This window comes from Homo sapiens, chromosome 13 (assembly GCF_000001405.40).
Source record: "Homo sapiens chromosome 13, GRCh38.p14 Primary Assembly".
In the NCBI taxonomy this organism is placed as follows: Eukaryota; Metazoa; Chordata; class Mammalia; order Primates; family Hominidae; genus Homo; species Homo sapiens.
In genome coordinates, this window is record NC_000013.11 from 81,315,131 (window position 1) to 81,339,808 (window position 24,678).

The 24,678-nt window shown below is 38.2% G+C and overlaps 1 long non-coding RNA gene across 1 annotated transcript; it reads left to right on the top strand.

Annotated features, from left to right (window-relative positions):
* Positions 1-1,265: 1,265 nt before the first annotated feature.
* On the top strand, positions 1,266-24,678 carry LOC105370282 (uncharacterized). The gene is made up of 4 exons (XR_942124.2): positions 1,266-1,388; positions 10,900-11,061; positions 21,000-21,080; positions 24,646-24,678. It is a non-coding gene; the product is annotated as an uncharacterized LOC105370282 (long non-coding RNA).

A 24,678-nucleotide genomic window follows, 5' to 3' on the forward strand; every position in this document is an offset into this window, starting at 1 on the left:
ATCCAATGTTGTGTTTAATTAGTTGGGAGTGAAATTCAAATATGAAACATAAAATCAAAGGCTTGTTAAAAAAGGTTGTGCATGAAATTTTATGACTACTATTGTTTCTCGAAATAATATGTTAGATAATAAAATTTTAAAACAGGGAAAACTTTTTAAATTAAGTTTTGCTATGAAGCTTTAGGAAAAAATAATGTGGAGAAAATTGTAATGTAAGTGAAACATAATAGTGAAACACACCAGTGAAATTAACACTTCAATTATTAAACCTTGTACCAACCTTAAGTTCTACAAACCTATGATTGAACTCAGTGTTTCCTCACTATGACCCCTCAAAAGCTCTTGGAAGTATATCAGTTCCATTAAACTTCACTCAAGCTCCAAAACTTTAATAATCTTGCTTAAGTAACCCCTAATTCCCCACTTCAGGCTAATATTAAACTTATCTTCTCTTCTACAAATACTCTCCTAAAGGATTTCATTCAATCCCCTTATGGCTTAAAAAACATCTATACACTGATGACTCCAAAATATGTATCACCAGTCCCTATTGACTTTTTCATGAATTCCAGTTCAATATAATCTACTGAAAACATAACATTTCCACCAAGATACTTAGCTGGCATTTCAAACTATACATGTTCCAAACCAAACTTTGGTTTACTCTCCCATGCCTGCTCCCATTCTGACTTTTCTGTCTCAATTTACAAACCTATCATCCATCTTATCAACTTTTTTCACACTTCAGATTGAAGATCCCGTCTTCAATCTTACTGCCATTATCTCCAACTTATGTGCGTTATTCAACCATTTATTTTCACCTCCTTAGTTCCTAGTCACTATTATCTCTTTTGCAACAGCATATCAACCTGTCTCTAAGTTTGCATCTGATCTACTGAATTCTATTTTCCAAATAGCTATTAGAATAATTTTAAATGTTAAGTCTGAAGATCATCTTACACGGTGATCAAAATTTCCCTTTACTTTCCATCAAACTCAGAATCATATATCATACCTACATGGTTAATGAAACACTAAAGGACCTACTTTCTCTTACATCTTAGAACCCATCATCCACCATTTCCCCTCAATCGTTTCTGCTAAGCTACTAGCACCTGTTGTCACCTCCAGGGGAGGAATGTTATTGCGTGAAGGATAGCCAAAAAGCAAAGAATGTAACAATGTCTACCACCAGGACCAGTGATCCCAGCATGTAAACTCACTACGTTGTTTGCAGGTGTCAGGGTTACGAAGAGAGGCACAAATTACCCAGACATTGGATGGAACGTTTTACTCATTTAGCAAGAGACAGAGCAGGTTTAGCCTTCATAGTAAGCCTCGGTCCCCCATGGCTATTGCCTCTTCTCCACAAACTTCATGTACTGCAGGTAAAATATCTATTTCTCTCCCCATAAGAAATAGTAATAGCAGTGGGATGGGCCAGGTGCTGTATCATGCACATGTTTTACCAAAACAAAAAAGTGTACATCAAGCCCAGATCATGGAAAGACATGCCCCCAAAAGATGATACATTCAGCACAGCCTGCGAGGCCTCTTTATCTCCATGTAAGGAAATGTTTTCTCTGGGCCTGAGGCTCACTTCTATGAAACCTTGTAAAGGTTGTCAGGCCATGTGTGACTGTCAATCCCCAAAAAAACACTTTTGGCCCTGGATTGGCTACTGAAATAGCAGATAAAGTACATAAAATTTGGTAGGGCCACCTCTTGTCCCCAAATTTGTAAGGAGAGTTGTGTCCAGTGAACCCCTGAACAACACTTTATAGATGCAGTTTCCTCACAGACCCTCTGTCATTTTGAGACATCAGGGTCACTAGGAGAACCAGACCCAGGAGGATGATGAGGCCTCCCTGGCAGATAATTCTTAACCAGGAACCCCAAGTGCCTGAATTAAAGCAATTAAATAGATCACAAAATGAGCTTCACAGGTAGGAGGGGTGTACAGCTGATGATCTCCAGCCTGAGCATGGATCTCCTCCAGCTCAGTTTCTACCTTCTCTAAACTATTGATATTTACACAGCAAAGGGTGTTGGTAAAAGCACAAATGCCAACCTGTTCTGCTAGCAGACAATGAGGCCTGTTCAATTGTCCATTACCACATTGACTAGTGAGTTTATTGGGTTTTGTTGATCTTGTATGGACTAAGTAGGATTATTAGCTATTTCCACCATGATTAAGGACAGATTGTATACCATTTGTCCTACAGCTTGTACACCTATGTCTGGTATTAAAATAGGAGCAGCAAAATAAAACCAGCTGTGAGTTTGTACTACCAGGAGGACGTTATAAACCAGTCAGTGGTGGGTTAGCAAAGTGGATCCCAATTGCACCCCCTCTCAAGCCCTTTATGTAATTTTTTAACATGAACTATGGGCCCTAGGGCTCAAAGGCAATAAGATTCTTTGCCCAAGGGCAAACACTCTGTTGCCCACTAAGGTCCACAGAGAAATCCATAACCCGGAGGGGTGCAGGTGACCCCCATCAGGGATTTGTGATTATCCTGTGTAGACTCGTTATATACAGTCTCAGTTCGTTTTGCTATGTGGTAGCAGGGAAAGAAAAAAAGGCACATCCAAGCCTGAAATGCCAACATAGATCAGTAATGTGTGTTCCAGCCTAGGGATTCTTTCCTGTCATATCTTTTTTTTCTTTTTGAGATGGATTCTCGCTCTGTCGCCCAGGCTGGAGTGCAGTGGCACAATCTCGGCTCACTGCAAGCTCTGCCTCCCAGGTTCACGCCACTCTCCTGCCTCAGCCTCCGTAGTAGCTGGGACTACAGGCGCCTGTCACCACGCCTGGCTAATTTTTTTGCATTTTTAGTAGAGATGGGGTTCCACATGGTCTCTATCTCCTGACCTGGTGATCTGCCCACCTGGGCCTCCCAAAGCGCTGGAATTACAGGCGTGAGCCACCATGCCTGGCCCATATCTTAAGTCATATTAAAGCAAGGGACTCAAGAATGTGTCTGCACCTGGACGTATAGCAATGGAGTCACTTGGCATTTTAACCCAGCTTGTAGGTGATCCAAGTCCTTGTGTATCTACCAGGGCACAAAATGGATTAAGAAAGATGTTCAGCCTGGGGTGAGAAATCCAGTGTTGTTTGAACTCTCCTCCTCTCACCGTGGCTATGCTTATTTTCATTTGTGTTATAATGTCAGGCAAGGCAGTGGCTTCTGCAGGAATAAGAAGAGGAATGATTAATTCTCCCAACTTCCTTCTGAGGCCAGGGATGATCTTATCCAATAACCTGCGGTAAGGATTACCTGGATTTAGCTGACTAGGCTGTTTGTTCATATCCTGAGGCTCCAGTCTTTGTAGAGATCCACTGCCCTTGTTACTTGACCCATAGGCACCAGTCAACCAACTTAGGGAAGGAGGTCACACCCTAAACAAATTTGGCATGTTCTATAATATTTCCTATCTTTATGGGTGGGGGCGGGGGTGCTGGGAGTCCCAGGCACAACCAGAGGAACCCTAGTACCTTGATATTCTGTCCCCTCTTCCCCCTTCCCTATGGGGAATCCCACAATGGAGAGGTGCCCAAAGATAGCCTTGCCTACAGGTTTGAAAAAGGAGGCTCCTGTAGTGTTGCCATTGTGGCCTAGAACACAAACCAGCACTGCAGGGTGCATTTCAGAGTGGGGAAAACTCTTGGGTATATCACGGTTGGGATTTTGAAACAACAGCCTAATTAGGCAACTTCCTGGTCCTTCACTTCCCTCCCCAAAGTTCAACATTTTTAACATGGATTGTAGTGCCATTTTTTTTTTTAAATGCTGGAATGTAGTATTGATAGGGACTGGAGGAAGAGAAACTCTAGGCAGACAGGGGCAGGTCCCTGGCAAAGCCCCACCTTCAAGCCAAAAAACCTGAGACCATGGCCCAAAGTAAAAACTTATATTCCTGTTTTCTCTCTTGAATGTTGCGTTTTCCTAAACCACCCATGTCTCTGCCCCACCCCATCCTGTGCCTATAAAGACCCCCGACTCAGCTAGCAGAGAAAAGCAGCAGCTGGGTGTTGGGGACTATGGCTGACATCAGAGAGAGCAGCTTGACTTCAGAGGGATGGCTTGATGGCATAACTTTAGAGAAGAATCCGGCTGGAGATGGCTGCACTCCAGAGGAAGTTTACCTACCCTCCTCCCATCCCCTTTTCAGCTCTCCTTTCCACTGACAGCCACTTTCATCAGCAATAAAATCCACCACATTTAGCATCCTTCAATTCATTCATGCACCCTCATTTTTTTTTCCTGGATGAGGGACAAGAGCTTGGGATCCACGAGTGTGGATACAAAAAGCTGGCACACTGTCCTTTTGCCCTCACTGGTGGAAGGCAGCTGCCTCATGCAAAGAGGCAGAGGGCCCACTAAGCTGTTAATACTTAAGCCGTCTGTGGACAGCAGAGCTAAAAGAGTACTGTAACACACTCTTTGGCTTCATAGGTCACAGGCATACACTCTTTGATGCTGCCTTGGGGTTTGCATGGAATTTGCTCCTGCCAGCACTGAAAAGTGCTTGCCCTAGCTCCTGCATCCACTTACCTGGGTGCTCCCTCCCACGAGGGTTGGAACACAGTGGGTCCAGTGCATGGAGTTTACTCCTCCTGGCGCCAAAGCAGCCAGCTGGTTCCAGCACTTGTGCACTCCAGTCCTGCCTCATTTGCTCACGCACTCCCTCCAAAGAGGAGTTGAGAGTGGCAGGCTGAGTAAATGGGGCACCACTGTCTCAAGTCCCATGAAGGGGTCTGGGAAATATCCTGCATCAGTATTTAGTGTCCAAATGGCTTTTGTTAAAGGAGAGTATGACCCAGTTAGTTGACCTTTTGATGGCCTTTGTGTGTTCATGGTTTACACCACCCATCCAATTGCTCTACTGCCCCGTTTGCCCAGAGAGTACAAAACATTTGTCTTATGTGGTGGGACTGTGTCAGTTATTGTGTGGTTTGTGCAGTGAATGTGGTACCTTCAGTGAATTAAAATCCTTCTGGATATCTAAAAATATGGCAGAGGTGTTTTCTGAAGGTTACAACAGTGGCACTTATGTTTACATGGCACACTAGAAAGGCAGTCTCCTGTTTGGAATATGTACCATGGCAATGTATCAGAATCCATGACTGAAAACAAGGGGTCCTAAGTCGTTAATATTCCACACTCATGTGAGGCCTATGTCTTGGTTAATTTAGCCCAGTTTTCCATATTGCAAGGCCAGGGGTTACTGAAAGATATTACACAATTCTATCTTATTTTTGCCTTTTTTAAAGGGTAAATTCTCATAATCTTGTCCATTTTTGCACCTGAGGTGAATTTTTTATGTTCCACTCTGTCATAGACTTAACACCTGCCTTGCCAGAGGGGGCTAAGAGTGCATGCGGGATGTTTCTGCCCCTGGGGGAACAACAATTGTGGTGATTTGGTAAGTGCATGCTAGATCAGCTTGTGAGTTTCATTTTGTTCCCTTTTGAATGGTCCTGTGTCACAGGCACCAACATGAGTGATAAATAGTTTTGTTTTTGTTTTGTCTTGTTTGTAAGCTGCTGTCACTGTCCCTGTCCCTACACAGGGGGGCCCTTAATGTTTAATCATTTATTTGCAAGTCAGTGGACCATACAGTTAGCCTGTTTGTAATAGCCCATGAGTTTGTAAATATGTAGCAGAGTTGCTGTTGGAGTGGCCTGCAAGGCCCTCGTTACTACTGGGAGTTCCATCCATTTCATATAGTGTCCTTGTCTGGTTTCAATTCAAAGGTGGCCATCCTTTGGACAGATGGCAGCAGTGCCCTATGGGACTCCATGAGCTTTGAATTTGCAGATCTATTAATCAACTGAGCCATACCATGAGCTGGAACATCTTTGAATCAAGAGCCCCCCTTAGTTAAGGCAGGTGCAGTAACATCCCCTATGAGCTGTTTAGCTCCCTCTGGCAAGGCAGTTAGTTACTTATACCTGGAGTAGGTTGACTTCCTGGGACCCTGATCTGAATCCTTCTTGGAGGTATCATTTTTATTTAATAATGGAGCTTTGGTGAGTGTGCCCTTATTTTATTTTATTTTATTTTATTTTATTTTATTTTATTTTATTTTATTTTATTTTATTATTGTATCAGTAGGATTCATGAAAATCTGTATGAAGATAGGCATCTCAGGTTTTTTGTTTTTTGTTTTGTTTTTGAGATGTAGTCTTGCTTTGCCGCCAGGCTGGAGTGCAGTAGCGTGATCTCGGCTCACTGCAAACTCCGCCTCCCGGGTTCAAGTGATTATCCCACCTCAGCCTCCCATCCCTCTTGTAGTAGTTGGGACTACAGGCGTGCACCACCATGCCCAGCTAATTTTTGTATTTTTAGTACAGACAGGGTTTCACCATGTTGGCCAAGATGGTCTCGATCTCTTGACCTTGTGATCTGCCGGCCTTGGCCTCCCAAAGTGCTGGGTTTACAGGCGGGAGCCATCACGCCCAGCATGGCAGCTCAGGTTTTAAGATTACCTGCAATGCTGCAGTGGTCAGTTGCTTTGTTTCTATTAAAGCACAACAGCAGGTTAGGAGTTTCTGTTTGAAGGGGGGTGTATCTGGTGGATGATGCCTTGGGTACTTTGCTTGTCTAAAATTTGAGGGGCTGATGTACCCCAGTAACAATCTATTGTTGTCATAGGCTCCAATCTTCATGAGTAGTTGTCACAGAGACCTATAGCTCCATAGAATTAGTGGGCTCCATCAGCCCAATGGTAGGGCCTGTGTCACTGCATTTTGCATGGTTTCCAGAGTCTATTGTTGTTGGGGTTCCTATGTAAAGGTGGCCACCTTGCAGGTCACCTTGCATGAAGGTCAAGAGTATCCAGATGTGGTACATGTTGTCTGCAATAACTAAATAGGCCTATCAGCTGTTGAACTTCTTTCTTATTAGTAGGAGTCGCTATGGTCAGCAATTTTTGTTTGATTTAATTAGAAATAAAATTACCTTAATAATTTTATCCAACATCTCTGATTATCATCCTGAGTGGCTCTCAAGAGCTACATTTGTTGAGCATGACCCCATATTTTATTAGGGTTGATGGCCCTGCCTGTCTGTGTTCTAGTGTCTGTGACCTTACGTAGGATCTGGTTATCTTGTTTTTAAGTCAGGCCATCAATGATGATGCCATCAGCATAGTGGATGACAAGAACTTCTAGGAATAATTTGGCTTGCTGAAGAACTAACCCTACCCACTAGTGGCACATTACAGGGAAACTGAGGTAACCCTGGAGAAGTAAAATATGCTGTAAGCTGTTGCATGTAATCTTTATCACACAAAGAGATGGAGAAGAAAGCATTAGTGAGATCTATAACAGCATGCCAGTTTCCCCTGTGGGCTACCAGTACTTTGGGGATAACAATAATGTCAGGTACCGAGGGTGGCATCTTGGCATTCAATCTGTGGTAGTTAGCCTCCAGGCTTTTGAGACTTTTTTTTACAGGATGGACTGGCTGCTAACTGCAACAGGTTGGTGTCTAACATTCTTGTCTGGAGCAAGTCCTATATCAACAGGGCAATGCTCTGTGCCTGGTATGCTGCACTGCTTTTGTTGAATAATCCTTCAGGACTTGGGCTTGGGTAACTTAGGTGACCAGTAAGGGTGAATGCACCACTCTGTTATGGCTTGAATCTTGTGTAATGAAGGGACATATCCCCCGAGGCAACAGTGATGTTTTGTGCCACAAGCAGCCAAAATGCCTATAATGCACTCAATTGCGTGAACCATGATTACTGTTGCCCCAAATGGCCCAAGAACCCCATTTGTAAGCACACGTGAACCTGCATGTGAGCTATGTTAGCTATGCATCACTGTGTTTGTCCCCAAACCTCCTACTTTCATAAGCTTAGCCCTACCCCTGTGGAGACCTCTGCCTATTATGATTTGATCACCAGTATCCATGAGCCACAAAGAAGTTTGAATTCTCTCTTTTTTTCTTTTAATTTGTCAGGCATGTAAGTCCATTAGGCCCCAGCAGAGACTCAGAGACCTTGGTCTCATTCCTAATCATTCTTTTTGAGGGCGTGAAGTCAAGATACATGCAAAGGGGATCACATCTTCCTTGTCTGATTCATTGCACTGAATTGGGATCATATTCCTCATTGACTTGGTTGGGGCATCAGAAAGCCTTAAAACCCCATGCACCCCTGTTCACAAAACATGTTCAGGGACTCTGAGAGCTACCATGCAGGATTCTAACTAAATCTGATGTGGGTCTTCCTCTCCTCTTTTTCTTTAGCTTAACTGAGGGCCTTACCCTCCAAATTGGGGGAACACACTCTCTGCCTCCTTAGAGTGTTGGCAGACTTTTCATTTTTATTTTTATTTTTTGTCCCATGGACTTTTATTTTTACTACCCCTTGTCTTAACAAGCAAAGTCACATTACTCTGCAGGCTGGCCTTATTCCCTTTGGTTTTTTGTTTGTTTGTGTGATTTTTCCTCTTGTCACCCATTGAGGTCCCCTGTTGGTTCTTTGGCATTGTTACCACTACCATGTTGGGTTTCCATTCACCCAGGCCTGAATCACAGGAAATCACTGAAACCATCTGCCATTTGCATCCCAATATGAACCATTTCTGTAGAGCTTCTCCATTGCTTCCCCCATGGTCATTTCAAGGGACAACAGAAAGAGTAATGGGGTCTTCCAATGGGGATGCTGTGCTTCATGAAAGCTTGCAGTGTGGCTCAGGACAGAACTATCTTTTTCACATTTACAGGGGAAAGGTTATATAGCCAAGAATCCATGGCTTTTACCAGAAGCCACTAAAGCTTTGTGAACATTTTTTTGAGGGGTAGTTCAGGGAAATTCCCCACTGTTGGGAATATTGCTCTCAAGCTTCCCTCAACCAAGATCATGAGCGACATGGGCTGATGTCAGTCTCTGTTTTGTTAGTTGTTATGTCTGATATTGGCAATAAATGTTCTGTATGAGAGAACTAGTTCAAAAAATTATAATGCATTACTATTAAGCTTAAAGCTATCTTTTCTTCTAACAAATATTTACTGAGAACTCTGTATTGAGATGATGTTATACTGGAACTCTGAGATGCATCAACAGAGAGTCCTTTACCCTGGTCACTGAGAAATCTACAATCTAATGTCAAATATATCTAATTAAATTGTTAGAATTAAACATGATTAGTGCTTTAGTAGTTGTTGAATAGGGTGGAAGGTAGAGAAGAAAGGTAGAAATCCTCTCTGGAGTGCTGTGGAACAAATGGATGCTAAGAACAAATATGCATTTGACATGAGAAAAGAAAAGGCAATGCAAGCAAGAGAAAAACTTGTAAAAACACAGAGTTATCAAAGATGGGAATTGAAAGAAATTCTGAAACATCACTTTGATCTGAGCTTGGGTAACCTAAATGGCATAGAGGAGAGATGTGAAGAAAGATTCTCAGCATAGAAAAAGGTTTAAGTTTAAGTTAGAAAGGTAAGGGGGAGAAAGTTTAGTAATTCGGTTCTATAAGACAGAAAGGGAAAATTGCCAAAGCCTTCCGGTAAAGAATATTCATTAACCTTAAATGAGAGCCACAGGAAAAAAGATTTGCTTTCACAAATGTTGTGTATATCAGCAAGACATGGACTGTCTGAAAACCCTGTTATTAGTCTGAGAATAAAGCTGACACACAGATCATATCAAAGCTGAGAGTTTCAAAGTTCTTCAAAGAAATAAAGCTGGGATTCTTACGGTACCATACATGATCTCACCAGAAATGTCCAGCTAGATGAGCCAACAAATCCCCTTAATTGTTCACACCAGTGATGCACCACACAGACTCAAAATGATCTGAGGGGCTTGTTTAAATATTAGATATAGCAGTGTTAAGATATTTCAGAAGTATGTAAAATAAAACAGTTTTAATTTAAAATTTGAGATAAGTATTTTTAAACTATTAAATACATTTTTGTCACATAGAAATATGTTAAATTATTAAATAAAAAATAAAGTTGCAAACCAAAACATACTCCATGATTCCATTATTGTGAACAAAATAACAGTTAAATATAGAAAGTTTTATATATGTTTTAAGGGCTCCAAAATGCAAAGCAAATGGGGAAGGAGGTTTACCTATGGGAAGAAGAATGGCATTAGGTATTTTGATATCTTAGTCTTTTAAAATAAGCTTCAACACTTATATTTATAGAATACATGTGCAGTTAAAATATTTTTAAAGGGAAAATACATATTAATAAATATTTTGGTGAGGTACTGAAATTTTATAATAGGGGCTTAGATTAGATGATTTAAATTTGGTATAGAGAGAAAAATAAATCTAAGTAGACTAATATAGTGAATAGATTCAAAAATCAATACAGATAGAAAAAGAATGCCCATAGGCAAACTCGAAAATGACAAATATTAAAAGAAAATAATGACAACATAGTAATAAATATTAATGATATGCTGTCATTCAGATCTACCTGCAGAGGAACTATGAGACAAACTAAATTCAGGCAAAATTGAATGTTTTCTTCTAGAGACACAACTTCAACAAATAAGAGTGACCCATGAACTATTATGGTTCAGTTCTACTTGATAAATATTGTAAAATAGACAAGTATTATGAATACTAACACATCATCTCAGACCTAATTTTATTTCTACATATGTACATATATATGCCACTTCAGCAGATGCAAAATAGTTTAATAATTTTAAGCAATCAGCTATTCCTATGACATCTTTACAACAAATTTTATGTAAGTAGAGAAACTATCTATTGACTGCTAAAAATCAAATAGCCAAACATTTTATGAATGCTTCACATTTGCCAGAAACTGTTCTAAAAGCTCTAGATGTATTAACCCATTTAATTTTCACAGAAATTCTATAGATTAAATATTTCCTATCTCCCTATATTTTTTTTAGACGAACAAGCAAAGACCCCACAAGGCTAATTTTCAGAGCTAGTAAATGAGAGAAGAGAATACAAGGAAAATGAAGAAAGACAAAATATTAGCATCTCTGACATTTACAGAATAGATGGGAGAGAAGAACCTGGAGGAAAGCTGTAAAGGGTACATCAGAGAGGTAAGATGAAAATCAAGGGCATATGATACTAAGAAGGAGTTTCTGGAATGGGAAAGGGGTCCAAGGTTTAGAATTCCACTGCCATAGAGGAACATCTGGAGACTCTCAATGACTCTGACAAGGTCAGTTTTACTGATATGAAAGTGATGGGGGGAAGCCAAAAGTCTGATAGCAATAGATTGAATTAGTGAATAGGTGATTTCTGGGCTAAGCTTTGAAGGAGAGTAACAAAGTGGGAGAATGATTGCAAAGAGTATGTTATCATGAGTTGGCTTTGTCATCACCAGCATCTTCATTTCCTAGACCGAAGCTCTTAATGTTTAGTTTTTTGTTCAATATGTAGCCATTTTTCTGAATTCTGCCCACCTTGGCCCCAGAGCACTGATAATCCATAGACAAGATCTTAAAAAACAAATATTAAAAAGAACAATCTCAATGAATCATCATGGATTCATAACTTTCTGTTGCTCAAATCTGCCTGCAGAAGACTATGAAGTCAGAATGAGTTTAGGCAAAATTCAGTAATTTTCTAATAGAAGGAAATACTGTTTCAACCACTGACATCTGAAAGACTAAGGAACTCATATAGTTCTACTCAACTTGATACAAACTGAAAAAAGTCAACCATGTTTATTGTCTTTTTCCACATGTACTCAGACCCACTCACCTCTTGCCTCCATGGCTCCTATATCCCAAAGCTTGAGAAACATCTTTACAACTATTCCAACCCAAACTTCTGATTCCCTTCACCACATTGGATAAATAAGCTCTCTGGCTACCTTCATAAGTTCTTAAACATTACCATTTCTAGACACTATTATTACTAGACTTCCTAAAACAACCAAGGTGACTATTCTAATGATTCTCCTACCACAAGCAAACAAATGTGAACTGTACTGTACAAGCAAATCTCATAGCAACATGTTCAGTATTTGGCAGGCATTCAAAAAGTGCCATACCTTATTGTAAATAATGTGTGCTGGTAATAATGTGGCAGACACTGAGTATTTGTTTGTTCTTCTTCCTGGGAACACTAGTACTTTACATTTCAATTATATGTGGTCAATTGGCTAAGCAACGACAGATATCAAAAGACTTTTTCAGATTTAAACTTTAAAAATTTGCTCTGGCTGAAATGTGGAGAGTGAATAAATGGTAGGGAAAATCTATATTTGGGAAGAGAATATTATAATTTTAGGCACGCTGATTTGTATTGCAAGTTTAAGAAACTGGTGACTATTTTTAGGAGGCAATTAGATACTGGAGAGTGAGCCTCAAATATAGGATTTGAGGCTGGGCATGGTGGCTCAGGCCTGTAATCCCAGCACTTTGGGAGGCCAAGGCTGCTGGATCACCTGAGGTCAGGAGTTCTAGAACAGCCTGGCCAACATGGCAAAACCCCATCTCTGATAAAAGTACAAAAAATTAGCTGAATGTGGTGGTGGGTGCCTGTAATCCAAGCTACTTGGGAGGCTGAGGCAGGAGAATTGCTTGAACCTGGGAGGTAGAGGTTGCAGTGAGCCGAGTTTGCGCTATTGCACTCCAGCTTGGGCGACAAAGCAAGAGGCTGGTTGAAACAGTATTACCTTCTATGAGAAAATTACTCAATTTTGCCTAAATTAATTCTGACTTCATAGTCCTCTGCAGGCAGATTTGAGTAACAGAATGCTGTGAATCTATGACGATACACTGATATTTTTTTCTGTCTCAAAAATAAAAGATAGGATTTGGGCAGTTCGTATACATTTGAGATTTATGCATGTGTATATGACAACTGAGCACATGTTTATGAATTTGGTTAATTAAGGGAAGGTTATTGATTTGATTTAAAAAGAATATCTATACTCATTAAGTGGATTTCCTCTATTTCAAGTTTGCAAGGAAATGGTTAGTATGTAGAGAATAAGTGTCAAGAGATGTAGGTGGTAAGTTGGAGAGTTTATGTTGAGAAAACCAAAAAAATGATGCTTTGGTAATGAGGGTCAAGAAAGGAAAAGTGACTTACTCAAGCTGACAGTTAATAAATTAATACATGATGGAGATGGAATTTTTAATTTTTTTTATTTCTTCTTTAAAAAATGGGATACATGTGAAGAATGTGCAGGTCTGTTACATAGGTATATGTGTGCCATAGTGGTATGCTGCACCTATTGACCCATCCTCTAAGTTCCCCCACCACCCCCCAGCAGGCCCTAGTGTATGTTGTTCCCCTCCCTGAGTCCATGTGTTCTCACTGTTTCACTCCCACTTATGAGTGAGAACATGTAATGTTTGGTTTTCTGTTCCTGTGTTAGTTTGCTGAGGATGCTGGCTTCTAGCTTCATCTATGTCCCTGCAAAGGACATAACCTCATTCCTTTATGGCAGCATAGTATTCCATTTGTATATGTACCACATTTTTCTTATTCAGTCTATCATTGATGGGTATTTGGTTTGGTTCCATGTCTTTGCTATTGTAAATAGTGATGCAATAAACATACACGTGCATGTGTCTTTATAGTAGAATGAGTTATATTCCTTTGTGTATATACCCAGTAATCCCAAGCAAAAAGAACAAAGCTGGAGGCATCATGCTACCTGACTGCAAGGCTAAAGTAACCAAAACATCCCAGTACTGGTATCAAAACAGGCATATAGACCAATAGAGCAGAACAGAGAACTCAGAAATAACACTACACATCTACAACCATATGATCTTCAACAAACAAGCAATGGGGAAAGGATATCCTATTCAGTAAATAGTGCTGGGAAAACTGGCTAGCCATATGCAGAAAACTGAAACTGGACCCCTTCCATATGCCTTATACAAAAATTAACTCAAGATGGATTAAAGACTTAAATGTAAAACCCAAAATTGTAAAAACCCCAGAAGAAAACCTAGGCAATACCGTTTAGGACACAGGCATGGGCAAAGACTTCATGACAAAAACACCAAAAACAATTGCAACAAAAGCCAAAATTGACAAATAGGATCTAATTAAACTAAAGAGCTTCTGCACAGCAAAAGAAACTATCATCAGAGTTAACAGGCAACCTACAGAATGGAAGAAAGTTTTTGCAATCTACCCATCTGACAAAGGTCTAATATCCAGAATTTACAAGGAGGTGGAATTTCAAGCCAGGATTGCTGTTCCTAGGGTCCTGGCTTTGAAACACATGCTCACTTGTGAGTTATTTTGATATCTAAAACTTCATTAAACTGCTTGAACTGCCAGTGAAATTATCAGTATTTAATTGCAGATATCTGGCACTGACGTCTTTTCCGGGAAAAATTTTCAGTGTTCTCAGGGTTCTTTTGTCATTAAGGTAAACAATGTGAAAAGGTGAGCTGATATTTAGACAAGCTGAAATGGTTATTCTTTCTTGAATAAAGTTTGCTTGAGGATGAAACTATAAAATAAAACCATAATTGCAAATCTCATTTTTTATTGAATCAGCCAGTAAAGGGTGTCTACTATATGCCTACCAGACACTGGATCATTCCTTTATTTTATAAACCATTCATTTGGTTCATAATTTGATGAATATTTTCCTCATAAACATGATAACTTCCATAATATTAGTAGTAATATTTTTGGATAATTTCTATTTTTCAGGTATTATGTAAGTATTTTACATGCATTGTATCACTTAATGTGGGAGCCTAGAAAGTCCATAGAATATTGTGAACATTGAATGTGATTATGCACTTAGAGACCTTAGGTCAGATATTTAATAATAAAGCAGACATATAAAATAAGTAGAATCAATAATCCCATTGTAAAAAGTGATAGTGGAAATTAAATACACTAAATGAATGGTCAAAATCATATAAAACTGGGACAAGACCTAAGGTTGTTTGGCACCAAATGACATACAAACTTACTGGCTGATGATTGCTTCTCAGAACCAATATTTTTCACTGCTTCTTCTGAGACATCTATGAAATTTTTCATGAGTTTGTGATACACTGAAAGAAGAAAACACATTTTCAAATCTATATTTTATTTTACTATTGATTGCAATATTGATATATGTGTGGGTATGTATTAAGGGATTTTTTTATTGAGCATTTAACAGATTTCAAAATTTGTGCTAAGTATTTGCATAAGTTGTCTCAGCAAAGTGGAAGTGGTGTCTGAAAATCTGTCTTCTAGTCCTATTGATGGCAGCAGCAGCTCCAGTTGACCTGCCACTACCATCACGCCAGCTGCAGCAGGGAGGCGTGGGCAGGGCTGCACACTCCATGACACAGGCAGGAGCCTCCCCTTCATAGTGGGGCTACAGCTGCCCAAATTGTGACTGTAGATCAGAGCCTCCCTGTGCTCTTAAGGGGCTGGGAGCAGTTAGGAGCCCTGCCTCCTGGACACAACAGCAGCTGCCCAAACTGCAGCTGCAAACTCAGGCATCACTGCACTCTTGGGGGCCCAGGAAGGCCGCCCTGTTCTCATAGGCTCTGAAGTTCCTGCTCCTGCTGCCTGACTTCTCCCTGCTGTTGGTATCTGCTCTGATCTCAGGGCAAATTCAGGACCAACTCTAAGTGCCATGAGTGGCAGCAGGTGGCAGACAGATTCCTGGGTGGAAGGGGGCATGTCCTGGTGAGGCCCCACCTTCAGGGCAGGGAGGGGCTGAAAGCTGGGGGCTGGGCTGCTAGTCCCATAAACTTGTGTGGGAATTTGTGGTGCCTTTTCTTGACCCATGGACCAATCAGCATGCCCTTCTTCCCCCTCTTGGAGGCCCATAAAAGCCCCAGACTCAGCCAGAGCTGAGCAGATGGGACAACCAGCTGCAGAGAGGGTAGCTCCTGCAGAGAACTTCAGAGATCTGCAGAGATGTTGGGACTACCAGCTGCAGAGAGGAGCCACCCACTCCAGGGCCTCCTCTCTGCCAAGAGCTGAACCCTCAATGAGACAACCTGCCTACAGAGAGGAGCTACCCACTACAGGTCTCCTCTGAACAGTTCTAATACACAATAAAGCTCCTCTTCTCACTCACCCTCCACTTGACTGAGTACCTTATTCTTCCTGGACACAGGACAAAAACTCCGGTAAAGGTGCCACCAGCCACAGAGGTTTCTGGCCAGAAAAGTGACACCCCAAAGATCCTGTGACATTATCTTTTCCACTATCAAATTATTTGACTATCCCTTACTATTTAAGTTTTTTTAAATGTGAGCATGGGAAAGAGACCTTTATTAACTTAAGCAATAAATAAATTACTGGGAAGAACATAGAGGAGCTCACAAAATTGAGAGAAAAAATAAAGAAGGAGATGCAGGTAACACAGGGACCAGAGTTCCTCCAGAATACAGGATTGTAGTGTCCAGTTTCTTCCAGATGCTGCCAAACGTATGATTGAGCATCAAACATTTCCTTTATTTGAATAATGCTGTTAAGGTTTCAAAATTCAGAGAAAGAGTATTAGATTGGCCAATCATGGTGAGGGCATAATGACTGAAAGTACAATCAATCTTCCTCAAATTAAAAAAAAAAGTATTCAAGAAGAGGAAATGGAAACCACATTGCTAAAAATAAAAAGATTCTACATCATACATAATTGGGGAATTACAAATTAAAACAATGCACTACCACTTAGAATGATCAAAATCCAAAACACTTGACAATGTCATATGCTGGGAAGGATCTGGAGCAATCAAAATTCTCATTTTTTGGAAATGCAAAATAGTACAACCACTTTTGAAGACAGTTTGGCAGTTTCTTAGAAAGCTAAACATAATCTTACTGTATGATTAATCAATCATGCTCTTTGGTATTTATTCAAAGGAGTTTAAAACTTATGTCCACACAAAAACATGCATGTGGATGTCTACCGTGATTGCCAAAACTTGCAAGCACCAAAATGTCAATCTATCAAGCCTCAAATGTATATTAATAAGTGAAAGAAGCCAATGGGAAGATGGTATATGCTGTATAATTTCAACCATGTGACATTCTGGAAAGGCGACAGCAAAGAGATAGTAAAGAGATCAGTGGTTGTCAGGGGTTGGGGAAGGGAGGAATAAATAGGGAGAGCACAGGTGGTCTTTAGGGCAGTGAAACTGTTGTGAATGATACAGTAATGGTGGATACCTGTATTTTACATTTGCCCCAAATCATAGAATCTAGGACAAGAGTGAAACCTAATGTAAACTATGGACTTTGGGTGATGATGATGTGTCAATATAAGTTCATCAACTGTAACAAACATACTGCTCTGGTGGGGGATATTGATAATGAGGGAGATGGTGCATGTATAGGGGCTGGGGTATATGGGAAATCTCTGTACCTTTCACTTAATTTTCCTATGAACCTGAAACTACTATAAAAAATAAAATCTATCAAAAAAAAAATAAGACCCATGAATTATTAACTATACTTATAAATAATATATTAACTCTCTGACCATATGTCTTTATGTAGCAGAATTTTTTATATTTTTGCCAGAATAAGGAAATTCTTTTACTTATTCTTCTACCAGAGTTTAAGGATTGTCACAAATAACATATAAAAGTGCTTTGGAAATTGTTATGTAAAAGTACTATTGTTTTATTTTGATATAAATTACAGAAATTGAATAAATGAGGAAAATAATCTCAGAGTATGTGTAAAAGGAGTGATAATGGATAGAGTTAAAGATAGAAGAGTATAAAATTGTGACATTAAATATATCATTTATAACTTTTTGTTTTTCATATTTAATTTATTGTTTCTCATTTTCAAAATTCCTGTTGAAAACAGGAATTTTCTGAGTTCTCAAGCACTGCATGGTATTTCCTTTAGGGCAACATCACTGCTGTGTACTTGTTAAATAATACCTAATACCACATGTATGTTAGAAGAAGATTTGTTCTTTTGAATTAAGAATTCTTAATGAATGCTTATTTAAGGTAGAGCCACAGAAAGGAGAATGCCTGCCTCACCTGTTGCAGGTGGGTACAATCTACTTTTTGCCTCAGATTCTTCCCAGCGTGCTTGTAAATTCAGACAGTTCTTTGGAACTTATTCTATTTCCTTCTCCCTGCAGAAAGGCTTAGAAATATGCCAGCCACATACAGGCTATTACTTAATGAAAAGAGGTTTTCTCCTGGAATTAATTAGATGTTGGGCCCAGCAAAGAAAATGTATGTAGCAGGAGCAGTTCTACTTTCTTTTAAAAAGGAGGGATAATTGAGTTGATTATAGTCAAAAATGAATCCCTGATACTAAAAATTTAGAAAGAGAAAACAAATAAAGAACAAATTATTTTTTACAAGAAACTCTTGAATGAAAAATTGTCCTAACAAATGGGTATTCAGTCTTCACTTTATCATTGTCTACAATCAACACATAGGACACAGACTATTTAAAAACATAGATTTCTTCAAAATACAATCGTGTTGTCAAGTACTTTTGAAAGACAAAAGGTGAAGGTGTGAACAGCATGTTAATTTCAACAGGAAAAAATATCTTTATCTTATCAAGGTCAAATGAAATTTAAAATGCATTATAGAAAGTGATAATTTACTGATGGCAGCAGCAGCTATAATGCATGTAATATAATTTGATAGCAAGAGATTGTTGGCTATGTTCTTTGATTAAATACCTGGGACTCGATTCTTTTTAAAAAATGCCTAAAAATACAGTTCTCGTCAGCCACAGAGCATTGTGTTCTGGGACATTTTGTGTGATTTATGCAATTTATATTAGCCAGAACTCTTATAGCATTAAGCCTCTAACCACCAAAGTGTAAAACTAAATTATTATTTCAGTGGGGATAGGAGAGAACATTTAAAAATATTCAATAATGCTATAGTCCAAATGCTTTTCATGGCTCACCATTTTTCATATTAATCTAGTTCAGAATGCTGCTATTAAATTAACATTTAATTATTATTACATTGTGACCACTTGTAACAGGCAACTAAATACTGAACTAAGCCGTAACATACATAGCACACAAGAAATTTTCTCAAAATAGTTATTTTATGCTTTCACTGACAAGAGTACATATTGCAAATCTCAAGTAAGAATATTGCTCTCAACAGCATAATATAATCTTTAGTTTTTACTATTTCATTTTGAAAATAACATAACTGAGTTATTTCACACTATCATGCCATGGCAAGATGGAAAAAATATGAGCAATACATTTTAAAATTTATGTTGGTGGCAAAATTTACAGAAACAATTCATAGTAGGGCTCTACCCAAACTTGCACTTGGTTATAATAGAGAAGAACACAGGAAAGAGGAATAATATATGGTTATAAATATTTAGATACCAAATCATTGAGCCATGGTTGATGACTTCCCAAGTGCTTCTCTACCGGCAACGTAGGAGTTAACTACTCCTAAACTAAACAACTAATACAATAATTCCTTGATAGTCAGGCTCTAATAATTAGTTCAGTCTTCTACAGGAAAAAGATCTGCGACAAAATTACCTAGCACATAGTGACCAAAATCTGTGTTAGTTTCCCGTTGCTATTGTAACATATTACAACAGACTTCGTTGCTTATAACCACAAAAATTTATTATCTTATTGTTATTGAGGTCTGAAGTCCAAAATGGGTCTTACACGGCTAAAATCAAGGTATCACCAGACCTATTTTCTTTCAGTTTCTTCTGTTCCAGGAGTGAATCTCTCTCTTGCCTCTTCCTTGCTTGCTTGCTTCCTTCCTTCCTTCCTTCCTCTCTCTCTCTCCCCCTCCTTCCTTCTTTCTCTCTCTTTCTTTCTCTCTTTCTTTCTTTTTATTTTCTTCTTTCTTCGTTCTTTTTTCTTTCTCTTGCTCTGTCACCCAGGCTGGAGTGCAGTGGCATGATCTTGGCTCACTGCAACCTCCGCTTCCCAGGTTCAAGCAATTCTCCTGTCTCAGCCTCCTGAGTAGCTGGGATTACAGGCATGCTCCACCACGCCTGGCTAATTTTTGTATTTTCAGTAGAGACTAAGTTTCACCATGTTGGTCAGGCTGGTCTCAAACTCCTGACCTTGTGATCCACCTGCCTCGGCCTCCCAAACTGCTGGGGTTACAGGCATGAGCCATCGTGCCCAGCCTTCTTGCCTTTTTTAAATTCTGGAGGCTGCACACGTTCCTTGAATTGTGATCCCCTTCCAGCAATTGGATCATTCTGACATGTCACGTGATGTGTTATTACGTTATATTATATATATATATTATAATATATGTAAATAAATCCTTTTTCATGAGGCATTTGTCAAAATCGTATTTTTCAGTGTAGTGCCAAATTCCAACAACATTTTAATTCTGAACATTGAGGAGAGTGTAGTGTCATCTAAGCAAAAGAGCATGTGAAAGATCTGCAAAATCTTTCTTCTCAGAGAAGTAATACTATATATAATTATTATTAGTGTCATTTACATGAATTAAACATATTGGGAGCTCAGGAAAATCATTTCCAACATAAATAATATTTGTTCAGTTACTGTTTTAATATAATATGATCAGAAATGTCTGTCTTTCTAATATTATCATACATTTTTAAATAAAAAATACTGGTATTTAAAAATAATTGGGTCAGTTTTTACAAGTACTATTTTGCAAATGGCTTTGATTTAGTTTTGCACTCTGTGTTTTACTAGTTTCTACTCAATGAAAAATAAATTTGATATATTGGCAATAAACATAATATTGTACAAGCTATGTATTAAATTTATCATAATTATTACTATACTTAAATGTACTGGATTGAAATAATGAAGAAAATAGACAAAAAATGTTCATAAACATTTGCATGTCAATTTTTACTAACTGCTTTTCTCTTCATATCCCAGATACACACTATTCCACTCACCTCTTACTGCTCAACTCAGGTGTCATTTCCTCCTGCATTCATTCCTATAAACTCCTTCCGGTTTTCAAGAAGCAAAATAAATATTTTATAAATTATACGCTTTTTAGGTAATCAACTTATGAGCTTTATAGAGACATTAATTTTTGCCTGTTCTTTTGTATTTCACCAGTGCCTATCTTGAGGATTGGAACATACGTAGTGGATATTCTATTGTATTTGCTGAGAGATTGATGGAATCAATGATAAATGAGTAAGTGAGGGTAAAATTTGGCATTCAATATTATTTTAAATTATCCTCCATAGCTCTATAAACTCTAGTGGTTTTATCCATAGCCCCCAACAAGGCAGGTCCACATCTGAATCTCTAGCATCAGTGAACCTGAAAGCCTTATTTGAAAAAATATATATGCAGATATAATTAAAGATCTTGAGATCAGAACATCCTGAATTACCTGGTAGGCCCTAAATCTAAAATGTTCTTATAAGTGGCAGAAGATGTAACAAAAGATACCCACATAGAGGAAAAGGCAATGTGAAGACTGAGACAGAGATTGGAGTGATGTAGCCACAAGCCAAGGAAGCCAAGTAATACAGAGCCGCCAGAAGCCAGAAGAGGGAAAAAAGCATTCTTCATTGCATCTTCCAGAGGTAGTACTTCCCTGCTGATAGCTTGATTTGGGGCTTCTGGTCTCCAAAGCTATGGGAGAATACCTTTCTGTTATTTTAAGCCACCAAGTTTGTGGTAATATCTTATGGCAATTCTAGGAGACTTATACAAGTATTATCGGAAAATATAAAATAAACAGAAACCAACTTCACTATCCTCAAGAGCCTTGTCTATTTAAGAGCAGCTATCCACTTATTTCCAAACACACATACACACATTTATACAGACAGACACTTACACACCCATACACAACAAATGAGAAATCCACCGTATCAAAAATTGAAAATTAATATACATATACATAATTAATGTTGAATAAGTGCAAAGTCAATTTCAAAATGTGTAACTTTATGTCAAATTATTTGATTTATTTGGAATGTAAATGGAACTTTCACAGTAATAGTTTAATTCAGGTATTATATCATCATATCTATTTATGTAAATTGATTTTCTTAGTTGATTATCAGTAATGCTATTTCACAGTTTGGAAAAAGTAGATAGAAAACATCTTGGAAAAGTCAAATAAATAGTAACTGATCAAGAATGAGCAGAATTGAGTGTTGAACTGGATTTCTCCCATGCATGCTGGCTGCTTGGAGTCATTTGATTTGAGAACCCATTATTAAAGTTGAGTATTTGTCACATTAGGTCCAGCTTTCCAAGACAGAAGTCAGGAATTCATTATCCCAGATACTAATCATTTACAATTTTTTAAAGGTCAAGAATGAAGGCATAGAGACTGCTGGGAATTCTGGTATTTGGCAATGGCGGTGGGGGGCTCTGGCTTTTGAGAGCAGTGGTGAAAAAGATTTGGGTACTGCAAAATACGGCACCCATGTCAGGTTGGTGAAGCAGAAAAGTCTCAATGGGACTTTCACTCAGTATTTTTAGCATTTTCTTTGAAGGATCATGTGCAAGTCTCTGATTTTCTTTATAATTACTTTTTTTTTCTTCAAACTGCTAAAGTGGGTTTTCTTTATAGAACTGACTCACTCCAATTACAAATTAGAAGAGAATGAGATGAAGAATTGAGGAAAGCTTAGGAAGTTTAAGTTTAGATTGGACAGGGGGTGATTATAAATAAGTGAGTGATGATTTGACATTTTATATGAGAATATTGGAAAACATAAGCAAATTTTCTCCTCTCCTATATCTAATTGGATTACTCAATCACATTATTATTTCTTTTTTATATGTCTATGTCCCCTTCCCTTTTCTTCTGCTAACTCATTGTTGCAGTAGTCTCCTTGATGATTTCTTGGCATTCAATCTAATCTTTATTCTTTATGTAAAAAAGTAAAATCTTTCTAAATAACCATATCAGGATGTCAATCACATGATTGAATTCATTTCTCTAGTCCAAATAAATAAAGTCATGAATAGATAAATGAGTGATAGTATGTTGCCATCTGCAGTGGATCTTAACTGGTTCAACATATACTGGCAGCAAAACAAAGGAATAGTTTTGGTTGATTTAAAAAATAAGAATTTGCTTTTTTATCAATCACAATGTTTATTAACAGGTGTGACATGTCATTTCATGATATTAAATTGAATAATTACAGCATTTTATCTTTGTGTTCTAAATTTACAGTGAAAAATAACAACAAATTGTTTCTACTAACCAAAATTGTTTTGTTGTGTTTTATTGTAAACAATTTACACTAAGCCAGATGCAGTGGCTCACACCTATAATCCCAGCACTTTGGGAGGCCAAGGTGAGAGGATTACTTGAGCCCAGGAGTTTGAGACTATCCTAAGCAACACAGCAAGACTCCATCTCTACAAAAAGTTTTTTAAAAGCCACTGTGGTGGTGAATGCCTGTTGTCTCAGCTACTTGGGAGACTGAGTTGGGAGAACTGCTTGAGCCCAGCAGTTCAAGGCTGTAGTGAGCCATGATCTTGCCACTGTACTCCTGGGCAACAGAGCAAGATCCTCTTTCAAAAGAAAAAAAATCCTTAAAAATCTTATTTTTATTAACATTTTATTTTCTTTGAATTTACTGCTATTTTTGTAGTAAAATGTACCTACAAAAACATTGTTATTTTAATCTACTAAAGGAATTATTTTTGTTTTAATACATTTGGATGCCAAAGCAATAAAATGTACTCCTGACATTACTAATGCAAATGGTATGCCTTTAACATGAATCTAAATGGTAAATAGAATTACAGAATACTTGAAAGTATAACTATTCTTTTTTATGTATAATGATATTCTTGGGTGATAAAAAGCTTTTTTTTTTGTTTGTTTCAACCATAATGAAGTTCCTGTTTCAGTGTAATATGTAAAGCAGGCTTATTCAAAAGCATGGAAAGAACCAGTGTAAATTCCTGAACAAAATATTTCAAAAGGTTCTATATTCTAGAATTACCTTGCTAAGTTTACATGCATCTCTCTCTATCATGATCCCTATACACCTGCTGAAAACATTTTATGCCCCTTTTTGAAAGTACTTTTTGAGTTGATTTATGCATTAACTCCCTTTCTACTACTACAAGAGCAAAGAAAACACCCTGTACAAAGCCTTATTTGAACACCTCAGCTACATAAAAATGCTTACAGTATTCACTAATCCTACCACTCACTTTTTGTATATCACATACAATACTATATCATTAATCTGTAGATATAAAAAGTAATGTTTCTCAAAAATCATATGATAAACTTCAGGAACACAAACACTAGATCTAAAACTTGTTTGATTTCCAGGCAATAAAATTTATTGCTGTTTATAGTAAATAAAACTTAAGTCAGGGCTACAATAGTTTTGTTATATTTATTTTCTTATTTAATTAAAAATCACTTCATGGTATGAATATCAATATCCCCACAGTGATAAAAACTAATCACTATAATTTTTGAAGATATTTCCTTAAAGTGATACCATGAAGAGAGTTAGGATCGGAAGGCTAATCCTGTGCTTCTCCTGCTAAAATTTATGGCCTCAGGATTGAAGGTTTTCTTACAAAAGGATGAGTTTTCCCTATCTCATGTTCCAAAGATTCTCAATGCCTGAGTACACAAATTTTAAGAACAAAAGACCCTAAATTTATTAATTATTATTATTTTCTTACCTGTTGGTTTCTGCTTGAGAGGCCTAATTTGCTTCTTCAGCCTGGGAATTTAAATTTTCTTCCATGGCAGGAAACAAAGGTCATAATGTGTCCAGAATTGGTG